This window comes from Homo sapiens, chromosome 9 (assembly GCF_000001405.40).
Source record: "Homo sapiens chromosome 9, GRCh38.p14 Primary Assembly".
NCBI lineage: Eukaryota > Metazoa > Chordata > Mammalia > Primates > Hominidae > Homo > Homo sapiens.
Window position 1 is genome coordinate 65679757 of NC_000009.12, and position 24567 is coordinate 65704323.

A 24567-nucleotide genomic window follows, 5' to 3' on the forward strand; every position below is an offset into this window, starting at 1 on the left:
GTTGGCCAGGATGGTCTTGAGCTCCTGGCCTTATGATCCACCCGCCTCGGCCTCCCAAAGTTGCTGGGATTACAGGCGTGAGGCACCATGCCTGGCCAAAAAATGTCTTTTTTAGGAATTAGAAAGGCAGTTTTGTATGGACTCTATTGCAACTCATGAAAAATATTTGAAAATGCTTCTGTTATTAGTTAACTTTGTTTAATGTTTATTATCTGCAATGCAGTTAAAACTCAATATTTTAAAAAGAAGGTAAACATATGGTCTTTATCCTCATGTATTTTATCTGTGAAAATAAGTGTGCTTAACTTCTCAACTCAAATATTAAACTGTAGTAAAAAAAAATAGCTCTAGACACAATACTTCTGTTATCTTTATAGGAGTTTTTCTTCATAAGTATGAATTGTAATCAAAGCTCACTTCTAGCCAAAAAACAATATCTATTAGACGATTTCTTTTAAAATGTACTATTTTTTTCAGTTGTAAAAAGTAAAAGAGCTAGGTTTTATGAACAGGATGGGAAGCCAGTTATATTCCAGTTATATTCGATTTCTGGTTTTAATAAACTAAAGAGAAAAGTGCTTTTTAGGCAAAAATCCTGAGATTTCTAATAACAGACTGTTTTTTTCATCATCTTATTAAATAACCTATTGCACACTGATTACATTTATTCTTACTATTTTCTTTATTTTTTCCTGGATCATTTTCACAATTTTATTTTTCACAGCATTCTCAATACTTTTCTTCATGTTTCATTAATGTTCTGTATATAGTCCGAATTCTGTAGCAACCTCTTTAGAAGCTCTTTATTAATACCTAGCTGAAATATAAAAAATATGTAAGTGTAAAACTACTCGATTTTATGGGAGCTCATTTGCTTAGTGGACTTTTAGAACTTCACCGTTTGGTATATTTCTGTATTAGAGGAAAAGTAAAACATTTAAAGTAATTCTTATAGATAACAAGCATTTCAAATATAGTTTATTCTTTCTTAAGTAAGTATTGCTAGGAAAATATGTGAATTTGACTAAAAGTTTAGGTTTTTTTTTTTTTGAGATGGAGTCTCACTGTGTTGCCCAGGCTGGAGTGCAGTGGCACAGTCTCGGGTCACTGCAACCTCCGCCTCCCGGGTTCACGCCATTCTCCTGCCTCAGCCGCCTGAGTAGCTGGGACTACAGGTGCCCGCTACCACACCTGGCTAATTTTTTGTAATTTTAGTAGAGATGAGGTTTCATTGTGTTAGCGAGGGTGGTCTCGATCTCCTGACCTCGTGATCCGCCCGCCTTGGCCTCCCTATAAGTTTAATTTTTAAATGAGCACACGGTACACTGGCCAAAAACCTTCCTTAGGATGAACTAGGGTTTTTACTCATTGGGAATATTCAGCAGTTTGTCTAACAGAAACAATTTAGAAGAAGAATGAAAAGAAAAAGATAGATAAGGCAGTCTCTTAAGAGGTTGAAGGGCATACAGAATCCAGTATATAAAACATACTAGTCGATTTAGAAAGTTTACCCTGGACAAGAAAAAAATGCCTTCATTAAGAAATGGGGGTGGCCAAGTAAGAGGCCTAAGGAGGAAGTAGGTATGTTTATCAGTTTAGGATGTGTCTTTTTTCAGGGCTTAAGTCATCTTAAATAAAAGCTAAAATAATGTAGTGTACTGTAATTTAGATATCAAGGCTGCATGAATAAAATGAAAGAATATAAGTTATAAAATGCAGTTTCTGCTTTAAGATCTCCATTATTGAGTTATCCTCATCTTTGTTTTTTGTTGGCTAATGGACATAAGCTAAAGAGTGCTGTTTGTTATTTATTCTAGGAAGTGCGCTGGAGAAATCCTTAGCTGTCAGCCAAGGTGGAGAGCTCTATGAAGAGTGGCTGGAACTTAGAAACGGTTGCCTCTGCTGTTCAGTGAAGTGAGGAATGTGTTTACTGTGTACATGGTTTACTAGAAATGTTTATTGATTATATTTCCAGCTTTAATTTTCTTGAGTAATTTAACTGAATTTACACAGTTTGCTTCATTGTATTTTCAAACAAATAGAAAATAAACTTATTAGGAAGCATTTTCTTAAAGTGTTTTTGCTGTCTTTTCTATCTGCTCTAATGTTTTGGTCCTTTTATTGAGTTTTTATTGCTTTTGATGTCAGGGCTTATTTAATCTCTAGTGCATGAAAGTCTCATATGTAAAAAATGATTATTCTGAATTTAATCTGTCATTGGTCATACTTCTAAGTGTTCAACCTTATAAAAAATAAATGACTATCAAAAAAGAAAAACCTTACATTATGTTCTAGTAGTTAAGTTTCCAAGGACAGTGTTCACTAGTCTACCATAGACCCTAGAAGAGTTACCCAACACATAGTAGCACTCAAATATTTGTTGAATGAATTATAAAAATGACTACTTGTATTGTTAATTTTGTGTATTCTAGTGAATTAAATCTCTTCGGCATCATTTACTCCCTTAGGTATTTGACTTTGTGTCAAATGTTTTGGCAAGGATAAAATTATAACAGACTTTCTTGAACAACCAAAATGTAATCTATTAAGGATTTTCCTTCACTTTTGATAAAATAAGAAAAAAGGAATTTAAAACCTTGCATCCTAATGTAAAATAGAATTATATGGTGTTTAATATCAGTGTCCCTTTAGCTATTATATTAAACTACTATAGTTAATAAATTTTATCATTATTTTGTATGTTGGTTTTTAACAATTTCATAAAGCTATAAAAAGATACTTGGTCAGATAAAGTTTCCTCTGCTTTTAATTTTAATAAAGTATTATTATGTATATGATTTCTTTTTACCTATTATATATATGCATCTATTGTTTTCTCCCTGGTAAATATGGGACAGACATTTTGTTAGAAGGTTAGAAGTGAGTTAAATTTTCACATTCCTAAGGATACTTTTGTCTCGGGTTGTTGAATACATTTTAAAGTGTTTATAATAATCACTTCAAAATATTTAGGTAATTAACTGTAAATTATGTTTTGGTATTCTCCAGGGACAATGGCCTTAGAGCTATTGAGAATTTGATGCAAAAGAAGGGGAAATTTGATGACATACTGTTAGAGACCACTGGATTAGCAGACCCTGGTAAGAAGTGAGATTATTAATAACCAGAATATAGTTCTGTGATATATTGTAAATAGATGTATTAGAGGAATATCTAAAATGAGTATTAAAGCTTTTGTTAGTATTAAACCAAAAACTTTTTTTGGTTTAAAAGAGGAAAAGTACTTGGTTGTCATTTTCTTTGGCAGTTGAATGAATGATCAGAGTATTTCTTGGTGCTTTTAAGCTGTTAATAGAATTTGAAGTTTTATTGATTGACTTAGGATTATTTGTAAGAACAGAAGTTGTTAAAAATAAGGACATGTAGGAAGAGCAGAGACGTTCTACCTCTAAGTACAGTTGTCCCTTGGCATCCATGGCGTATTAGTTCCAGAACCTCTGAGGATACCAAAATCTATTAATGTTCAAGTCCCTTACATAAAATGGTGTAGTATTTGCCTATAACCTATGCACATCCTCCCATATACTTTAAATCATCTGTAGATTACTTATAATACCTAATGCAATGTAAGTGCTGTGTAAGTAGTTATTATACTGCATTGATAAGGTAATCATGACAAGAAACTCTAAACTCTACTATGGAAAGCTACACAGAGTCAACCTGTTTCTCACAATGGGTTTCTGTTACCTTCTTACCAAGCTCTAATTCTTGATAAAGTCTGCTTATTTTCCCCAAATAACTTTTAGATAAAATCTTTATTTTCAGTTTGCATAAAAGTTAGTGCTTATTCTGTGAATCTGACCCATACCATTATTTTCTTTTTGATCTGGGTCTCTGGCATTGGGGCGATTTGTAAAACTATATTAAAGTATTTGGGGGTAATTTACTAAACAGGTCATAGTTGTCCAAAAGAAATATTGAAGTATCCTGAGAGTTCAAATGTGATCAGTGGTTATTGTACTTAAAACAATTACGTAGTAACATCATCCCCATGTTTTCAAAGTAGTATTGAATTAGGCTATTTTGGTCCTTATAGTAAGCATGGGTTTTCATACCTTTCTGATAAATCTGACTGATGATAGGACTTGGACTAATATGTTGGCGTTAAATATTATTTGAATCTGGTAAGAAAGAAAAATATATTGTATGCTTTTATTAGAAATAGCAAATATCAGTTTATTTCATCATAGCCAGTTTTGCCATTTTATAGACAAAAACTTGACACTTTTGAGAGTTTAATTAAACACGATTCAGCTTTTCAGAGGAAGAAAGAAAAACTAAAGATCACAGAGAAAGCTTTTATACAAATTGTAGTTATAAAAAATGTTAATGTTTCTTGCTTCTAACTTTCTTTACAATAAAGATTTTATTGTTTGGGTAAAGATGGAACATTCATTGTAAAAAAATTTAAATACCTAAAAAATACAAAGAAGAAAGTTGAAAAGTAATCATCTCACTATTGTGATATACAAGTAAGGGCTGGGCATGGTGGCTCATGCCTGTAATCCCAGCACTTTGGGAGGCTGAGGCAGGTGGATCCCTTGAGGCCAGGAGTTCAAGACCAGCCTAGCCAACATGGTGAAATCCAGTCTCTACTGAAAATTCAAAAACTAGCCAGGCGTTGTGGCGCACCCCATAATCCCAGCTACTCAGGAGGCTAAGGCATGAGAATCGCTTGAAAGCTGGGAGGCGGAGGTTGCGGTGAGCCGAGATCACGCCACTGCACTCCAGCCCAGGCAACAGAGCAAGACTGTATACACACACACACGCACGCACACACACACACACACACATTCATACACACACACACAAGTAGGTAAATTTTATTCCAGGGATCTCTCTATGCCAGTGCTACTTGGTAGTATGTTGAATGGCAGCCTCAGCCTCAGCTGGGAGCTTGTTAGAAATGCAAATTCTTGACCAACCCAGATCTACTGAATCGGAATCTCTAAGGGAGGGGGTCAAGCAAGCTGTTTTTAATAAGCCCTTCAGGTGATTCTTATACTGTACAGCCATACTGCAGGGATATTGTGGGCTTAGTTCCATATCACTGCAGTAAACTGAATATCACAATAGAGTGAGTCACACACATTTTTTTGTTTCCCATTGCATATAAAAGTTATGCGTTTTGGCCGGGTGTGATGTGACAGGCCTGTAGTCCCAGCTACTTGGGAGGATCACTTGAGCTCAGGAGTTTGAGGCTGCAGTGAGTCATGATTGCACCACTGCACTCCAGCCTGGATGACAGCATGAGACCCCATTTCTTAAAAAAAAAAAAAAAAAAAAAAAAAAGCTGTGTTTATACTATACTGTAGTCTATAAAATGTGTAATAGAATTGTCTAAAAAACATACATACCTTAATTAAAAATATTTATGGCTAAAAAATGCTAACAATCATCTCAGCTTTCAGCAAGTCATAATCTTTTTGCTGGTAGAGGGTCTTGTCACAATGTTGATGGGTGCTGACCAATCAGGGTAGTAGTTACTGAAGGTTGGGGTGGCTATGGCAATTTCATAAGATAATAATGAAGTTTGCTGCATTAGTTGACTCTCCCTTTCATAAAAGATGTCTCTATAGCACATGATGCTATTTGATAGCATTTTACCCACAGTATGACTTCTTTCAAAATTGGAGTCAGTCCTCTCAAACCCTGCTTTATCAATTAAGCTTCTGTCATATTTTAAATCCTTTGTTGTCATTTTGACAGTGTTCATAGCATCTTCACCAGGAGTAGATTCCATCTCAAGAAACCACGTTCTTTTCCCGTCCATAAGAAACAACTTCTCATTAGTTAAAGTTTTCTTATGAGATTGCAGGAATTGAGTCACATCTTCAGACTCCCCTTCTAATTCTAGTTCTCTTACTGTTTCCACCATATCTGCAGTTATTTCCTCCATTGAAGTCTGAAATCCCTCAAAGTCATCTGTGAGGGCTGGAATCATCTTTCAAACTCCTATTCATGTTGATACTTTGATCTCCCATGAATCACGAATGTTCTTAATGGCATCTAGAATGATGAATTTACTTTGCCTAGATCCATCAGAGGAATCACTATCTATGGTAGCTATAGCCTTATGAAATATATTTCTTAAATAAGACTTAAAAGTCAAAGTTACTCCTTGATCAGTGGGCTGCAGAATGGATGTTGTGTTAGCAGGCATGAAAACAACATTAATCTCCTTGTACATCTCCATCACAGCTCTTGGGTGATCAGGTGCGTTGTCAATGAGCAATAATATTTTGAAGGAATCTTTTTTTTTCTAAGCAGTAGATCTCAATGGTGGGCTTAAAATAAACCATGCTGTAAACAGATGTGCTGTCATCTAGGCTTTATTATTTATAGAAAACAGGCAGAGGAGATTTAGCATAATTCTTAATGGCCCTAGAATTTTCAGGATGGTAAATGATTATTGGCTTCAACTTGAAGTCACCAGCTGCTTTAGCCTCTAACAAGAGAGTCAGCCTGTCCTTTGAATCTTTGAAGCCAGGCATTGACTTCTCTATAGCTATGAAAGTCCTAAATGGCATCTTCTTCCAAAAGGAGGCCATTTCATCTCCATTAAAAATCTGTTGCTGGCCGGGCTCGGTGGCTCATGCCTGTAATCTCAGCACTTTGGGAGGCCGAGATGGGCAGATCACGAGTTCAGGAGTTCAAGACCAGCCTGGCCAACATAGTGAAACCCCATCTCGACTAAAAATACCAAAAATTAGCCTGGCTTGGTGGTGGGAGCCTGTAATCCCAGTTACTTGGGAGGCTGAGGCAGGAGAATGGCTTGAACCCGGGAGGCGGAGGTGGCAGTGAGCTGAGATTGCACATTGCACTCCAGCCTGGGTGACAGAGCGAGACTCCATCTCAAAATAAATAAATAAATAAATAAAAAATAAGTCTGTTACTTAGTGTAGCTACTTTCACGAATGATGTTAGCTACATCTTCTAGGTAGTTTACTACAGCTTCTATATCAGCATTTGCTGCTTCCCCTTGCACTTTTATGTTATGGAGATGGCTTCTTTCTTTAAATCTTGTGAACCAACCTCTGCTACCTTCCAACTTTTCTTCTCTAGCTTCCTCACCTCTCTCAGCCTTCACAGAACTGAAGAGAGTTAGGGTTGCTCTGAATTAGGCTTTGGCTTAAGGGAACATTGTGGCTTGTTTGATCATCTATCCAGACCACTTCATATCAGCAATAAGGCTGTTTTATTATCATTTGTGTGTTTACTGGAGTAGCACTTTTAATTTCCTTCAAGAACTTTTCCTTTGCATTCACAACTTAGCTAACTGGCTCAAGAGACCTAGCTTTTGGCGTATCTTGGCTTTCAACATAACTTCCTCACTAAGCATAATCATTTCTAGCTCTTGATTTAAAGTGAGAAACAGGTGACTGTTCCTTTCACTTGAACACTTAGAGGCCATTGTAGGATATTAATTGGCCTAGTTTCGTGTTGATCATATTCTTTATGTTGTCATGGTTCTGTCATAATTCTTTTAGTTCTATGTTTTAATAGTTTTGGTGCTCATTACCAGTACTGTTGCTTCTCCATTCCCGAGTTAGTCCATCTCCTGATTGAATTTCATTGTCAGGCAGTCTTTTCAAGTTACAGGTACTGCATGCATTCTTTGGGTTCTTATACACTTCATTGATTCAAAATATTTGTCTTTTGTTTTTATATTACTTGAAGGATTACTTGGCTAGGTATAAAATTTATCAGTCACACTTTTTTCCCCCAAACTTTGTAAATGTTGTTCCATAATCTCCTAGTGTTTGATTGGCTGGATTTCTTTGTCCAATGTTTTCTCCTTTTATTAGGAAGAATTTGTGAGTATTATAGTCTCTGAGTTTCAATGCTTGCTGTTTTCTTTAATGCTTGAGAATGTCTGTCTATTGCTTTCGTTCCTGAAAAATAACTTGTTTGGGAACACTTTCATTAGAACTTTGTGGTCACTGTTTTATTATTTTGGGACATCTAGTGTTACTGTAGAAAAGTCTGATTTTTCTCCCTCCCTCCTTGAAGGCACTTTTTTTTTTTTTAATCTAAAATGCCTGAGAGTTTTCTTCTTTATTTTTGAAATTCAGTAATATAAACAAGGTATATCTAAGTGTCACTTATAATCATTTTTCCCTAAATTATAATATGCCCTTAGTTCTTCTAAGAACATTTTCCTTGTTTATTACCATGAATACTTTTTTTTTGGTCAAATTATTAGATCCTCTACTTCATGACACCAGTTTTTTTAATACTGAATTTTCTTTTGTTCTTCGTATGTATTCTAATTGCTTTGATGTGTCTTTTACCTTTGCATTTACTGTGATCATCTGAAGCCTTTCTTTTTGTCAGTAATTCTGTTTTCTCCAGTGTCTGTCCTGTTTTTGATATTTTAAATGAATTAATTGGTTAAGTCATTAATTATTAATTAATTGGTTAAGTCAATAATTAAATTATTAATAATTATTAATTAATTGGTTAAGTCAATAATTAAAAATAATTAATTGGTTAAGTCATATAGGCTCTAAGTTTCTTTAGCACTACAAACTGCATTTTCATCTTATTCTGCTTCTTCTTGCTTTTGAGCTTGTTTATTATAAGGTTGTATTGTTTTCAAGTTCTTCATTATGATGAAGTTGTTGAGAATTTTCTTTAGTTTTTATTGGGTTATGTATCCTTCCAGAATGGGTTGGTTCTTTGCCATTTGTATGCCCTATTCATTTCTTCATTTTGTGTTCTTTCTTGCTTTTTATTCCCTGTATGTGTGTGTTTCTTTTTGTCAGGCTGTAATACATATGCATACATGTTTCTTCTTGATATGGGAGAACTTCTATGTGGTGCTGATGGGAAATATTTTTAATACTCCACTCTCCTTACCCAAGTTTGTTTTTCTCCTGAGCCCTAGTTTGAAAGCTGTATATTGTTGGAGTGGAGGGAAAGAGAAGGGAAAAGTGGTGATTCAGAGAGCCAAATGGGGCAATGTGGCTTTTAGGCTCTGCTCTCTTGAAGTACCAAGTATTTCACTCTTGGGTCTGCCCAAGTGCTTATGAATAAAATTCCTTTGCCTTGTATGGGGACATCATTCGACCTCAGACCTCTCATTTCTCTTTGTTCTGAGCCCTAGAATGTGACCTGACCTTCTCCTTCCCAAAGCATGGAGATGGTTAAAACTCACTCTTGAAATTTTTTTGTTGACTTTTCCCTGTGTTGCTTATTCATTCCTCGGCTCTACTTTTTGCCATTTTGGAGTGTATTTCTGGTAAGTGTTTAGGATTTTGTAAACTATTTCCCTACAACCTCTTATTGGAGGTAGGGGTAGAGTTGGGAATGACCATCAATCACATATAACTTTGTTTCTTATTTTGACTATCAGTCTTCAAAATTTATGGCAGGCCCTTTTATATTTGGTTGCTGCTAATAAAATGTTGGCCTTTTTGTTTTATTTTTTATTTTTATTTTTTGTTTTATTAGATTTTGAAGAAGGGAGATTCTAAAATGTAGTTCAGGTTTTCTCAGTGTCAGCACAAATAACATTTTGGGTTGGATAATTATTTGTTGTGAGGGGGTTGCCCTGTGCAGAGTAGGATATTTAACAACATCCCTGGCTTCTACCCACTAGTTGCCAGTAGCATTCCCCTAGTTAAGACAACCAAAAACATCTTCAGACATTGCCAAATATTCCCTGGGGAGAAAAGCACCCTGGTTTGAGAGCCACTGATCAATTTTGTCCATTCATCTTTACTCCTCCTAAATACCTACATCCAAATTTTAAATAGATCTTTCTCATGTAGTCTGGCAAGTATTATATCAAAGATAAATACCAGTTTTAGAATAAAGCATTAATATACTCTTACATTTCAACTTAAGAGGCAAATATTAACAGTAGGATTTGTAAACTATTTATTAGACTAAAAATCAATGAATTTTTAAAAATTACAAAATGATTTATGTATGTTAGATATTTTACTGAGTGAAAAAATTCATGCTTTTTTAAATGACTTATTGTTTGGAGTAGTGATACAGTAGATTTAATTTTCCCCCTCATTAATTAAAATTATGTTTTAGCCAAGAAAGTGAACAAAATTCTTATTGGCAATTCAGTTGTTTCCCGTTTTGGAGACTGACACTCTCCAGTTCTAAGTTAAATAATTGTCATGGTAAAGTAATTTCCTTGAAAAGAACGGACATTGATTCAGCCCCTGTTACTCACAAATGCTATTTGAGTCAAATTGGAAAACTATTAAGTTTTTGGGAAAAAAATCAATAGGTATCAGGAAACCATTAGATCTTGTGGCCCTTGCTATATCTTGCATGAGTAATCACTGTAAACAGCTGACAGGTATTTCATTGTTGACACAGAGTGATGCTTGGGGGACCACATCTTTTCAGAGCAGGTGGACAGCTTTAGACGTTGGAATGAGTTTGATTATCCTTGTTTTTCTCCTACACTCATTCTTTTAGACAGCCCTGTCACTAACTGGGCCTGTGATGCTTTCAAAAATCAAATACTTTCCTTGCTGTCAGTTTTCTTTTTCTTGCGTTGTGGCATACTAATCAGGGTATGTGGTTTGGTACTGAACCAATTTCTGTCAAAAGCAAGTTTTAATTTATTATTTAGGAAAAATTTTTCCTAAGACCCAGGTTTTATACAGTCCTAAATAAATAGTGTGAGGAATAATTAGTAATGCCATAGAGTATATAATTTTACTTCTAGTTCTACACAGATTACAAGTAAATTTTTTTTGGGCAAGTGATTTTGGAATTATCTATGTTTTGTTTTCCTTTTCCTTTAGAGTGATAATTCACTATTTATGATTGAATGATTATCATATTAAAGAGGTGAGAAAATAAAAATAAGTCTGATGTGCACAAAGCCATACTGCTCAAATTGTTTGATAATATCTGTTAATTAAATTATTATGGCATCGGTAGAAGAATGATGTTTTGTTTATATGTGGTTAGAATTGGTCTTTTTTAAAGGAAATAACAAGAGAGATGGAAATGGAATGGGTATAAATAGTAAAAGGTTCTATCACTATAATTCCCTTTTGCTCTAAATAGTTAAAGCTTCTATCACTATAATTTCCATAAGAAGATATATGTGTTTACCTGTTAATTTTATCAGGGCAAATTAAAACATGGATAGAATCATGTTTCTCAGTGTGAAGAAATATTTTTATTTGATGAATATTATATATTTTCAGGTGCAGTGACTTCTATGTTTTGGGTTGATGCTGAATTAGGGAGTGATATTTACCTTGATGGTAAGTTAAAAAACAGTTTTCTTTTATCTTTCTTGTTTTTTTTTTGTTTTTGTTTTTTTTTTTCTGAGACAGAGTCTCACTTTGTTGCCCAGACTGGAGTGCATGGAGTGCAGTGGCATGATCTCGGCTCACTGCAACCTTTACCTCCTGGGTTCAAGTGATTCTCCTGCCTCAGCCTCCCGAGTAGCTGGGACTACAGGCGTGCACCATCGTACCTGGTTAATTTTTGGATTTTTAGTAGAGACGGGGTTTCGCCATGTTGGCCTGACTGGTCTTGAACCCCTGACTTCAGGTGATCCGCCAGCCTCGGCCTCCCAAAGTGCTGGGATTACAGGCTGAGCCACCACACCCTGCCTCTTTTGTTTTTTAGTAAAATCTTTATGGTTAAGCTTATTGTTGTTCATTCATGTTATAACTTTAATTCCTTGCATTGTGGTTCTTTTCACACTTTAGTTTAATGATGAAATCTTTGTTCATATAGATTAAAAAACCCCAGACAGTGGTGGAACTCGATGTCACTCAACTTCCAATTTAGTGCTTCCACTAAGGTTTTCTTTAAAAAAAACAATGCTTTGTAGGTTTTCTGTATCCTCTGTTGTTTGATTTATGTCCTTAATGTAATGTTAGAGCCTTTTATTTTTATCCTCCAGGCAATATGAGGATCATATTTTTGCTTTTATTTTCTCTTGAAGATAAGAATTAAACACTCCTCCCTTACTTTATTTACCTGAACACTTTTGGGCAATGATATGCCTTCATTTAAAATATATTAGAAACTTTCTTAGTTAAGCGACTATGTTTTCTCCCTTTCTCTTTCCCTTTTTCACCTTTTTAAAAACCAGTCGAAATTTTCTTACTTTTTCAAAAGTAATAATCATTAAGAAATTTAAGAATTATTAAGCTGGGCCCCATCATTGAGCTCTAATATATGTGGCGGGTAACTGGTTGAATTCCTTAGGCATAATTAAACTCATTCTTTTGTTATCAGCATATATTCAGAGACTGCAAAATGAATTGGTAGTTTGGAAACTTAGGCATATGTTATGTAAAACATTTATGAGTTGGATTTGGATTTGGTGAGAGATGTTAGGAATGATACCTTAAGATGTCTCATTCTTTAGGCAATAATTTAAATCTTAAGAAAAGTCTTTTTTTTGATTATGTGAAAATAAACTAGAAATAACCTGTCTTATGTACTTATCACATTTGACTATGTTATGAAATTTGACTTATATTTTGGATTGTAAGCTTTTTCAGTGCCAAGGAAATCTTATTTTCTTATTTATTTAATTTAAAATTTTTATTTGTTTTATATCTTCTCTAGTGCCTTAAAATAGTGCTAGCCACTCAGGAAATGCATTGACTTATTACTGGAATTTAATTAAATGGCAGCACTGGCAAGAGAAAAAAACAGTACATTGTTTTATTGAGTAGTATTTGTGAACTGAAATAGGTTAGTTTTAATTTTCATTCTGAAGTATGGTTGCACAAGTATTAATAAGCATTCTTTTTAAAAAGTGATTAAAATGTTTTTTCCTTTGTAGGTATCATAACTATTGTGGATTCAAAATATGGATTAAAAGTAAGTTGAAAGATTGCTATGAGTGGCTCATTATTGAGAGCTGGGAATATGGGGATTGATTGTTTAATTTTCTTTATGTTTGTATCTGAAATTTTCTTTAACAAAAACCTTTCTCAAAAAGATATCCTGAACAATAGGTGAAATTTGTGTTTTAATTATTAGTTTGTGTTAAATATTTCTTTTCTATTACTCTGAGTTTGATTTGGTGATAAAATTTGGAATTATAATTTGTAATAAGCATATGGGGTTAGGATAGAGTTTGGTATGTATAGCTCTTCACAAGGATTCAACCCCAATATTGGTAAGTTTTTCTGTTCCATAGAAGAAGCTGAGCTTGATAAAGCATCTGAGATCTTATTTTTCTTGTTAAATTACTATTAAACACACACTGGAAATGAGTTTTTAAAAAATATTGAAGACCTAGGTGATGGGTTAATAGGTGCAGGAAACCACCATGGCACGCGTTTACCTATGTAACAAACCTGCACATCGTGAGCATGTACCCTGGAACTTAAAATTTAAAAAGTACATATTGAAGAAAATCAGGATATACACATAGGATTAGTAAGAAGACTCTCTCCATTAAAAGGCATCTTGCATCGCTTCTTGGTCTTTTGGCTAAGATCAAGTGTAAAAGACATCCTGCTATGAATGTTTTTGTTAACTTCTAAGGTCCTAGAATGCATTTAAATGAGGTTTAATTTATAAAATGCATTTAGTAAGATCTTTAAAAGTATGTTGTTACATACAGTAAAATGACGTTTCTCAACTTCCCAGGTGAAATACCACTAAAGGCAGAAGAGAATGAAATCATCCCACCCACTGACCCGTTCCCAATCTGAGCATATGGATAGGGCCCAAAGCAGTAAGTTCTTAGAAGTTTAAATTCAGTGTTTAAAAATTAGTGACTGTTTTGTATCCAACCTCATATCTGAACATGTTAATTTTTTTTTTTTTTTTTTTTTTTGAGACAGAGTCTCACTCTGTTGCCCAGGCTGGAGTGCAGTGGCACCATCTTGGCTCACTGCAACCTCCACCTCCCAGGTTCAAGCGATTCCCTTGTCTCAGCCTCCTGAGTATCTGGGATTACAGGTGCACACCACCATGCCCAGCTAATTTTGTATTTTTAGTAGAGACAGGATTTTACCATGTTGACCAGCCTGGTCATGAACTCCTGACCTCAAGTGATCCACTTGCCTCAGCCTCCCAAAGTGCTGGGATTACAGGCATGAGCCACCACGCCCGGCCTGAACTTGTTAATGTTTAAGTTTGCTTTTTTTTTTCCCAAATCTTTGCTGAAATTATGCTCTAAGGGGATATGTCAGGTTTGTCAAATAGCTACCAATACCTCTTCACTGGGCCTTCTCTCCCTCGTTGATAGAGTGCCCTAATTTGAAAAGTTTGGAAGAAAACTCCTTTTTTAGAGTTTAAAATCTCAATTTATGAATTTATGAATATAATTTAAGAATCAAAGAATGATCCCAAATACAGTATTACAGTTTCACGCAGAAAAATTCCAATGACTGTTGGAAATCATATTTCTTGAAAAATGCTTATGGAGGTAGCAAAAAAGCCCCAAATTATTCATTTTGAATGTTTATTATAGGCATGTTTGAATCTACCTCTTCCATAAATTTATTACAAAATTTGATATACCTATGTGACAGATAACTGCTAAGACATTTTGTTTTTTTTTTATTTTGATAGACTGAAAATGCCATGCTAAAAGTCAAACTGTTTATGTATTTTATGATTATAGGAAAAATTTTATATGTATAGTTGGGTATGGAGAAGAGTTAAATAGAATCTATTATCAGCATGATGGAGGCCAAAAAAACAAAGCAACATTCTGAATAATGCAAACACAGTAAACGTTTAACCTTCTGCTACCTTGATAAAACCTCTTAAATTATTAAATCAATATACCTACACGAAACTGACACACTGTCAGGATAATGGAAACTTTAAATTTTCTAAGTCGGATGCCAGATAAATAACTTTGCCTTGATATAAAGAATTTTCCAACTTGTCCAATTCCTCTGGTTGCAAAGCTTGACCTCAGTAGCTGCTTGTGATTCAGAGAATTCTGAGGCAGTACAAGTAATGACACTTGGATAATGGGCAGCAATTTAAGAATGTCATGCTTCACAGAGCCAGCCCATGACAAGTAAAGCTGAGAAATGGTACCCTGTGGCCAGCCAGCCAAATTGAAACTGAAGTGGTAATTGATATCATGGGGTATCACTCTAATGGGATTGTCACCCATTGATCTGAAATATTCATTTTTTAATCATAGGCAAAGAATTGGACAACTTAAAATGACAGCTCTCTATTCTGAGGACTTGACACCCGGGCTACTGACATTGTTCTTTTCAGTTCTACAAATGTGACAGCATTTAATGCAATAGAAGCAATGAATGAAGTTACCCAGAGAAGGTCAAGTGAGAGGTTTCTTCTTGGTTCCTCTGTTATATTGCACAATCTGTTGAAACAATTCAGTCAGAAAACAGTTAGCTTGGAAAAGGCCAGAACAATAAATAGACTGACATTATGCAATAATTTTTTAAAAACTAAAATAGTGTTACATCTGTAACCAATCCATTTGAAAGAAATAGTTCCTGCTGCTGCTTTTTAAAAATGACACCAGACATCTTTGACACTAGATTTATTTCCACTCTGGTCAACAGCAGTGTTCTTTCATAGCCAGTGGGTTTTAAGACAGTTTTTTCTTTTCTTTCTTTCTCTTTTTTCGGTCCGGCTTCTTTCTTTATTTCTGCAGAAAAGGACACCCTATAGCCCTTCATGAAGTTAGGTCTACAGTGGTGTTATTTCAGAGAGTTCCTTTGTTTCTCTCCCTAACCCCCCAGCTTTATTGAGGTATAATTGACAAGTAAAAACTATATATATTTAAGGTATACAGTGTGTGAATTACATTATCAAACAATCGAGCTAGTTAACCTATCCATCACCTCACATTGCTATTTTTTTGAGAGGGGGTGGTAAGAACAATTAAGATCTATGTTTTAGCAGATTCAAGTATACAATAGAATTAACTACAGTCATCATGCTGTAATTAGCTCTCCATGACTTATGCATCTTGTATAACAAACTTTGTATTCTTTGACCAACATCTCACACCACTCCCCTTTAATTTCCTTTGTTTCTTGTGATAAGTTAAATTGGGGTTTTGATCCTTAGCCTTTTGAATATGTTGGATTAATTAGTATCAAAATTATTTTTGTCTTTTTTGATATATAAGCAAAAGCCATAGTTGTTAAGCAGAGATAAGGAATACTTTGGACATCTATGTAATATAAAATATTTAAAAAATATTTTGCAAAATTTTTTTCTTCATTTACTTATACAGGTGGAATAGAATGCCAAACTTTCCATTTTGTTTTATTTTATAAATGAAAGTCATCTGACTTAACGACCAAATGGTATATAATGTATTATTGGAGAATGTTCTTTTGAATAGAAGACATTGATTTTATACTTTTTGCAGAGTTTGACTTGGGAAGGTAGGAAGTCACATGAGGGAAATGCAGGGCTGATGTCTAAAGAAAATAAATGTTAATATGCACTTATTTTTTTAAATGTTTGTATAGCTTTCCTATGGGCATAGAAGAGGACATTTATCTCTTCTGCTATAATTGTATATGATTACATATAATTTTAATACAGCTGTAAATATTGGCAGGCTCTCATTTGGGGTGATTTTCATTTATTTTTATATTTGATACTTTCTGACTGCCTGGAAGTAGTAAAACGTTAGTCTACCACTGTTAGCTTTGAGTGAAGAATTCTAATATTTTGGAGAGGTAAATGCATTTAAAACATTGCACATTACCTTGTGAAACTAACATTGTATTAGTTACATTTAGGCATGGAAATGCAAAAACAAATCTGTAATTCTTCTGTCATATCATTTTTATGCCTCACAAACTCATAGCCAAATAACCCCAATTTCATATGTTAAAAAAGCTTTCATAAGGTCAATAATATAATATCTTGAAAAATATTTCAGTTTAAAAAGAATTTTCAGTACTATAGGATCATTCAGAGGCAGATGCCTTGCCAAAAATATATCATTGTTAAGTAGATTTACTGCTTAATGGGAAGAGATTTGTTGCTGCATGTTAGATGGCATTTTTCATGTAACATCTTTTATGTATCCCCACAACAGGAGGTGTTAATTACAATTCATTCAACAAATATTTCTTGAGCCTTTGTGCCAGGCACCATTCCAAGGTCTGTTAGCAGCCTCATTCTCTAGAGGCAGAGTATATAACAATAGGACTTGTTGTAGCCTCAGGCCAAGATGAATTATGAAAAAAATATTAAACTTGATCTTTTGGCATGGAATGATTTTTGATACAATACTTGTCAAGTTCTGTGACTTCCATAATTGCAGAGTGGGTCTGCAGTTGAATTGAACAAGATTTTGCCTGAAGTAGAAGTATCATTGCCATGATTTTATTTCAGTTTTGTTTTCCTCAAAATAGAATTTGCTGAACTTTTAGAAGGAAAAAATGTTTCTTCTATAGAACTAATCAAGCGTGTTAAATAAAATTATTACCTGCTTGCTCTGAGGTTCCAAACTATTCAGATACCCCTAATGATCATCTCCCCATGAATTATGAAACTGGTTTGGCTCTGATATATGGTTATTGACATTTGTGTAGCATTGTACACAGACTGATTTTATGTGGCATAAAAGATTTCACAAAGGCTTTAAAATTATGTTCATTTTACTTGATGGGTGTGTGTTCAATTAAAAAAAAAGTCCCTGTGATTGTATATAAAATATAGTATCCTGTGATGATGAGGGTGTTAGATTTAGTTTCTTCCTTTATAAATGAAAATAGCCATCTCCCATAATTATTATGAAAGCTAAATGAGAAAAATGTATATAATTTATAAAGTTAGATTCAAGGATTTAATTCATTTGTAAAGTTGGCTTCAAATATAGAGTATTACTATAATCTAGTTGCCTCTAAACCTCAGTAGCCAGCTTTTTATTGTGACAGGGAACCTCTATTGAGGTTTGAGGTAATGAGGGTAAAAGTGTAATTTCCCAGAGAAGAAGCTTGTGATGTTGATGACGTTAGGGATGTAAACAGGATTATGAGGGGGAAAAAAAAAAACAGACAACAAAACTTGCCTCCAGAGAGATGGAAACTACCACTTGGGCTCTAAGTCAGTGTCAAAATATTTTTTGGAGTTAGCCTGACTCTGGAGAGGTCAGTAAAATAAACAGTTGCACTGAGAGGCCAGATTAGCAAGTATGGGTTTCTAAATGATAAACTGCTTTTAGGCTAGAATCAGGGCTGAATCAGCCTTCCCACCACTTATTTGTTTCTAGGGTGTTTGAAAGGCCTAGTACTGAGTTCACGTGGTGCATGATTGTGGGCTGGGGTGCAGGGAAGTATTTTAGATTCTAATATGGGGGTTTGGTGTGAAGGGAAGTATATTAGATTCTAAGAAACTATATTTCAGTGGTTATCCTTTTTTTAAAATAAGTAATAATGAATATTTAGAACCAGAACAGTTTTGTAAGAAGGAAAATACCTAAAATCTGAACTGTAATCTTCTATGTTTTTATGACATTATGTGAATCAAAGGGGTTTTCCTTTTAAGTAAAAGAAAAGGTCAGGAGTATGAAATCCTAAGCCCTCTTCCTCCCCCTATAAAACCCCACAGGTTCACTTGTAGAAAAAAATTGCAAATGAGGAAGAAAAATGCTTTCAGCTAGAAAAGTTAGTTTTGGATTTGTGTATTCAGTAACAGAACATGTTGAAGTTTTTATTAAATGCAAGAAAATGTCTCTAAAGTAAAATCCTTTGTGTTGACATTAGATTTTTTATTGTATTATAGTAACTTTATTCAAACTTTTTTTTGTTTAGCATTTAACAGAAGAGAAACCTGATGGCCTTATCAATGAAGCTACTAGGTATTCATATTTAAAGTATATATTGATTGCTGGCTAATTGTAAAGAGAAAAATCACTAAGATGAAAACCAAAAACAAACTAAGAAATTTTAAAACATAGTCAAGGAAAATTTGTTTTCTTTTTTTCCCTTAGTTGAATTATTGCTATCTATTTATAATGATCTCATAACTAAACTTTTACTTGAAGTCATTTTTGTCGTAGCATAAAGTGAATGCTGAACACAGGAGTTCTGTAATTTTGAGGAACTCGGGAAATATTAACATTTAGAAATATTTTCTTGTTATACAATTTCTTTGGGATTGAAGATTTTTTATATATATATATATGTGTAATAATAATTATTATTATTATTTTTTGAGACAGAATCTCACTCTGTCACCCAGGCTGAAGTGCAGGCTCACTGCAACCTCTGCCTCCCAGGTTCAAGCGATTCTCCTGCCTCAGCCTCCCAAGTAGCTGGGATTACAGGCACCCGCCACCATGCCCAGCTAATTTTTGCATTTTTTTATTTTATTTATTTTATTTTATTTTATTTTTTTTTAGTAGAGATGGGGTTTCACCATGTTGGCCAGGCTGGTCTCGAGCTCCTGACCTCAGGTGATCCACCCGCCTCGGCCTCCCAAAGTGCTGGGATTACAGGCATGAATCCACTGCGCCTGGCTGAACTTAAGTATTTTTGTAACTTTTTTCCTTATGAAAATATGGTTATTATAGAAAATATAAATAAGCCAAATAGAAAATAGCCAAATTGGATTTGTGATGTACATACTGTTGAAACCTGCTCTTTCAGTGAACTAAAGTTAATTTAGTTTTGAGAATTTAGTTGTATTCTTTGAGATAAAGCATAAGACCCTGAATAATTGAGGAAAATTGAAAGAATTTCCAGTTTTACTATCCTGTTAATAGAAAATAGAGCTTCTGATTATTATCATCTACTTTGTTATCTAGCATTCAGTCAACTGGATTCTTTACAGAGATAATATACAGTATATTTATAGTGATAAAGAAGACATTTGTGCAATATCCTGATATATCTTCTGAAGTATAGCTTATTTTTTTTAAGAAATGGAGTCTTGCTATGTTGCCCAGGTTGGACTTGAACTCCTGGGCTTAAGGGATCCTCCCTCCTCAGCCTCCTAAGTAGCCAGGACTACAGGTGTGCTCTACCATGCCCAGCTCTGAAGTATAGTTTTAAAAAACCTGTTTAATACAGTTTTTAGTATTAAGTGAAGTTATTCTATTTCTTTGAAAATTTTGGTAAATATTACAGTATTTTAGTAGGTAAACTCTTCTTCTTTTTACCATATTGGATATCTGAATTTTATGCTTTTCTTCACAAAGAAAATTATGAGTTTAAAATCATCCTTTTGATTGTAAACTTTTTGAGACTTATCTTTGTAGCGCAAGAGTAGCAAGTAACAGAACTTAGTAAATACTTTGCAAATGGGTAATGTGAAATCTGAACTTGCATAGTAATGAATACAATTCATTCACATTGAAAAGTTAGCGGATTAGGAGTAAACTGAATCACTCCTATAGAGCACTATATAATTCTTAACTGATATATTGATCTACATGAGGTGTTTTTATTTATTTTTAATTTGTTAACATTTCTCTTTTGATGTATTAATCTGCATGCGTGTATATTATTTAAAATTTCTTAACATTTCTTTTTGTTTGCTATTTTAGGCAAGTTGCTTTGGCAGATATCATTCTCATTAATAAAACAGACTTGGTTCCAGAAGAAGATGTAAAGAAATTAAGAACGACAATTAGGTACAAAATGATAAGTGTGTTAAGTGCCTACAGATCCATATTGTATACACAGAATATTTTTTACTCTGATTGTTGCCCTGTAGAAACTTAAGGTATAAGGTTGACCTGCTTCAAGAACGTTAGGGAATCACATATATTGTTGATGGCTAATTGTTATATAAATGGTAATACATAAAATTAGTCCTCAGTGCTTGCAGAATATAGTTCACAGTTAATAGACTGATATTCAGGGTCTTCGCACTCCATCTTTCTTTTCCTGTCTTCTCTTTGACTCTTTCCTAATGTCAGTCTTCCCTAACTTTACCCAGGATGGTTAATTCACTTTCCCATGGATGCATCCTCTCAGTTCCTGTCTTTACTCATAATGTATTCTCACTCTGCCAATCCCTGAGTTCTTTCTTGTTCTGTTTTTTTTTTTTTAAATTTATTCTATAGAGCCTATTCTGTCTCTCCCCGCTTCCTATGTGAAGTCTTCCCTGACTCAAGTGGTCTCAGTTTTCCCTGAACTCTTGTTGACTTCATCTTCCTTAACTGTCAACCATGCCTTGTCTTCCAGCTTGCTTGTATATCTTCTTTGTCCATAGCCAAGGCTGATCAGCATAGGACAATCAGGACAATATGAATGATGCTCAAATATGTGCTAACAGTCATTTTGCTGACTGTTCTGGAGACTCCCATTCCTTTTGAAAACAAAGATGGACTTTTCAAATGAAGTTATAGTTCAGGGACTTTGTTTTGAATTATTTTGTAAGACCTGAACTAATAAAAGCCCTATACAGAGAGACATTCGGTAGCTATTATTATTGGTTATCTTTAATGTGTACAATGCTTTGAGCGTGATGGTGGCTCAAAATTACTATTCTTAGTATTTATAAGTTCTACTGACATTAGATTTTGAATCTGTCATCTCAGTTCATATAGTATATATTATAAATTGAATCAATAAAGGTAAGGCTCATTAGGAGATTATTTGCCATGATTAATGATTGTGGAAGAAAGAAATTCACATTTTTTCCACATATTTCATCTTATTTTAATAGTAATGTCCTTAAACTTTACTATAAAAAAATATAATGTCTCCATGTGGAGGGTAGGTATTGTTGCCTAGTGTTGAAGATCACAGACCTTGGAATCTGCTTGGGTTCTAATCCTTGGTCTGTTTCTCATTGTCTTCTTAGGGAGCTTATTTACCCTTTTAAAGCCTCCTCTGTAAAAGGCATAATGCCTATCATAAGTTTGCTTTGAGTATTACATGAGACAATGTTGGTAAACTTTGCACAGTGCTGACACATAGTAAGTGCTCTGTTAGCTATTATTATGTAATTTTTTTCTTAGCTTACATAGTAAGTTCAAGGTATAGTAAAAAAGGGAAGAAAGAAAAAGATGGCTGATTTTGAAAAGGAGAAAGTGATGAATGAAGATTGCTTTTACATTTTTTGACACTGGTCTTCTAATCTTGTTTCCTTCATAAATCTTGTGCACCATTGTGATTGCTAAGAAGAACACAATCTATTTAGCAAACGTTTTTGGCATAAAAGGAATGATAATTATTACTTGACTTTTATATCCTTATAGAGACCTAAGCTAAATCTCTGACACTGACAATATTGACTATTAGCCAGCTTGTTAACAGTACTAGAAATGAATTTGGAAGAAGCAATTTGATAAATTACACACCCTTTTGGCTTTTACCCTCCCTTTATATCAGACTTGTGACTGACTCAGAATGATATTTGGGGAGGTGAAAAAAGGTAAACATGTTTGAGAGGAATTAGCCATCAGACTAGAGTGTATTCAAAAAAGAAGATTTAAGAATTTTGTAAAATAGTGGAGAGACTTGCCTCAGAATCATTATATGTGGGAAGCCTTACCCATGAGAACAACCTTGAACAAGTAGCAAGAATCTTGGGTAAGTAACCCTAAAGACAATTGAATTCATGATAGAGAATTGATGATTGATGATAGGCAATGGAAAAGATAAATAGATGAGGTGTACAGTGTGCTGAAAAGAATTTAACAGGTACTTTTTGGTGCCATACAAAGCCATATTCTATAGTATCAAAAGAGGGAGAATAGGCATAACGGGTAGAGAGCCTAATTAGGGAACTGACGAGGTTATTCTATAAAGGAACCTGGGATGTGTGACTTAGAATTACTGTGAATACTAAGGACAGACTGGGGGCAAAGCAACTTACAACTAGGTTTTTATTTTTAGTGTGTATATAGCCATTTCTACCATGTATGCCTGAGGAAAAAAGTGACCACCGTAAAAATTTTGAGTATCTACTCATTTTTAAGATCACTAGGATAACTGACTATTTATGAATGATTTTTTCTAAAGTGAAGCGTCTTTTTATTAACCACAAAGTAGCCCTTAATCTGACAGTTGTGCGAATTTTTGCATATATGTTTTATTGATGTATGAGTGGAATATATGTGATTTATTGTTTGAAGGAAAATCATAATTATTTTTTAAAGCAAGTTTTGTTTTTCTGTTTTTAATTTTTTTCTGGTTCCAGATGTATTTGGGTATGCTTATTTCCTGTTTTAGAAACAATATACTTTGTATACTTTTTTAAAAAGTTAATTTTTACTTTTAAACTTTGTCTTCCTCATTTATTATTTATTTCAGATCCATAAATGGACTAGGACAAATCTTAGAAACACAAAGATCAAGGTACTTTAAAAAAGCTATTCCTATTAATAACAAATCATTTTAGTTATTAATAATAAACATTAAGTAATTGACAAATATGCTTGATTCTGATATAAGAAAGATCTAAGTTCATTTAAAAAGAATTGGATCCAAAATGTTGTTTGGAATGCTCTTAATAAGTTAGTTTGGCATATTTGGCTAGTACATTTGCCTGTCTTCAAAACTAAGATTACAAAGCCATGGTAACACTGTGTAAGTGTTTGCTTAATGAGGAAGAAAAGACTTCCAAACACTCGAGAGGGTAACTCAGTACAGAAATCTGAAGTATATTGAGGAATCTTAATTTGAAGTGTTTAAATGGCATTTTAATATTTAAAAAGCCTTCTTAGTGTTTTATAGTTGCCAAAAAATACATGGAGTCTTTACCTTGAAGTTCCTGACAAATTCTTTTATTAAATTTTGACTTTCATTTTCTCTAGGTTCTGTTCCTAAAACATCTGTGAAGTGTATTTCTGTAGATTAAATTCTGTTTTCCATTGAATGTTATCTTAATTTCAGAAAATTTCTGTGCAGGGATATTTTATTAAGCTCATTTTTTTTTTTTTTTTTTTTTTTTTTTTTGTGGTGAGAAAGGCTCAGCAGCTGATAGACTCAGCAACAGGCAGCCAGGAGCTCTGAGGCTCACAGCTGGCAGTCTAGTTCTACTCAGTCTCTACTTGAGAAATTCTTTCTTTGGAAGTACAGCAGAGGCCTTAGATGAGTGGCTTGTCTGCTATGGCAGAGATTAGAGGTGCTGCCAGACTGCCATTAAGTGTTAGGCAGTAACAGCAGCAGCTGCTTATATGCATGTGAACAGCTGGGGAATTAATTTGGTATGCATTCTCAGGAGCCGCTCATCTGCTGGCAGAGGTAGCCGAAGAATGCCCTTTAGTGTAAGTCCTCTACAACCATACACCAAATGTGCTCCCTGCATTTCAAATTCCATTGTAGAAAGTCTCTGATAATCTCACTTATACCATGAGCCATTCCTCAGTATCTGTCCTCTTCCTGTTAGTGTTCTACAATTCCTTTCTCCTTAATTTTTCTCCGCTTTACAAAATGTCACACAGACAAGTGCATAATACTTAAACAAGCTTTTAAAAATAATGCTCATAAATAGCTTTGGTTCTGTCATAATATTCGTATTTATAAACATTTTAAGTCAATTCTCTTCTTTTGTTTTCATTTCAGAAATATCCATGTCCTGAATAAAAGTTGTGTCTTGATTAGTTTATTATGTAACAATTTAGTGTGTTTGACATTTCTAACTTTTATTTCTAACATTTGCTTT

At 34.1% G+C, this 24567-nt stretch overlaps 1 protein-coding gene across 26 annotated transcripts in view; it reads left to right on the forward strand.

Moving 5' to 3' along the window:
• Window positions 1-24567, forward strand: part of ZNG1E (Zn regulated GTPase metalloprotein activator 1E) — an 81063-nt gene that overhangs the window by 26778 nt on the left and 29718 nt on the right. For 8 of the 26 annotated variants that reach the window (XR_007061265.1, XM_047422963.1, XM_017014456.2 and 5 more), the window contains 7 exons: window positions 1818-1914; window positions 3010-3101; window positions 11211-11270; window positions 12815-12852; window positions 18759-18805; window positions 20495-20581; window positions 23214-23258. Coding sequence is in view for 18 of the 26 variants with exons in the window: in NM_001330668.2 (NP_001317597.1) it covers window positions 1818-1914; window positions 3010-3101; window positions 11211-11270; window positions 12815-12852; window positions 18759-18805; window positions 20495-20581; window positions 23214-23258 (466 nt within the window). In the remaining 8 variants the exon portion in view is untranslated. Of the gene's footprint in view, window positions 1-1817; window positions 2075-3009; window positions 3102-11210; window positions 11271-12814; window positions 12853-13629; window positions 13718-15148; window positions 15294-18758; window positions 18806-20494; window positions 20582-23213; window positions 23259-23870; window positions 23989-24123; window positions 24170-24567 lie in introns of those variants that run through there. The other 18 variants (XR_007061266.1, XM_005272751.2, XM_017014455.2 and 15 more) reach the window with 12 other exon arrangements.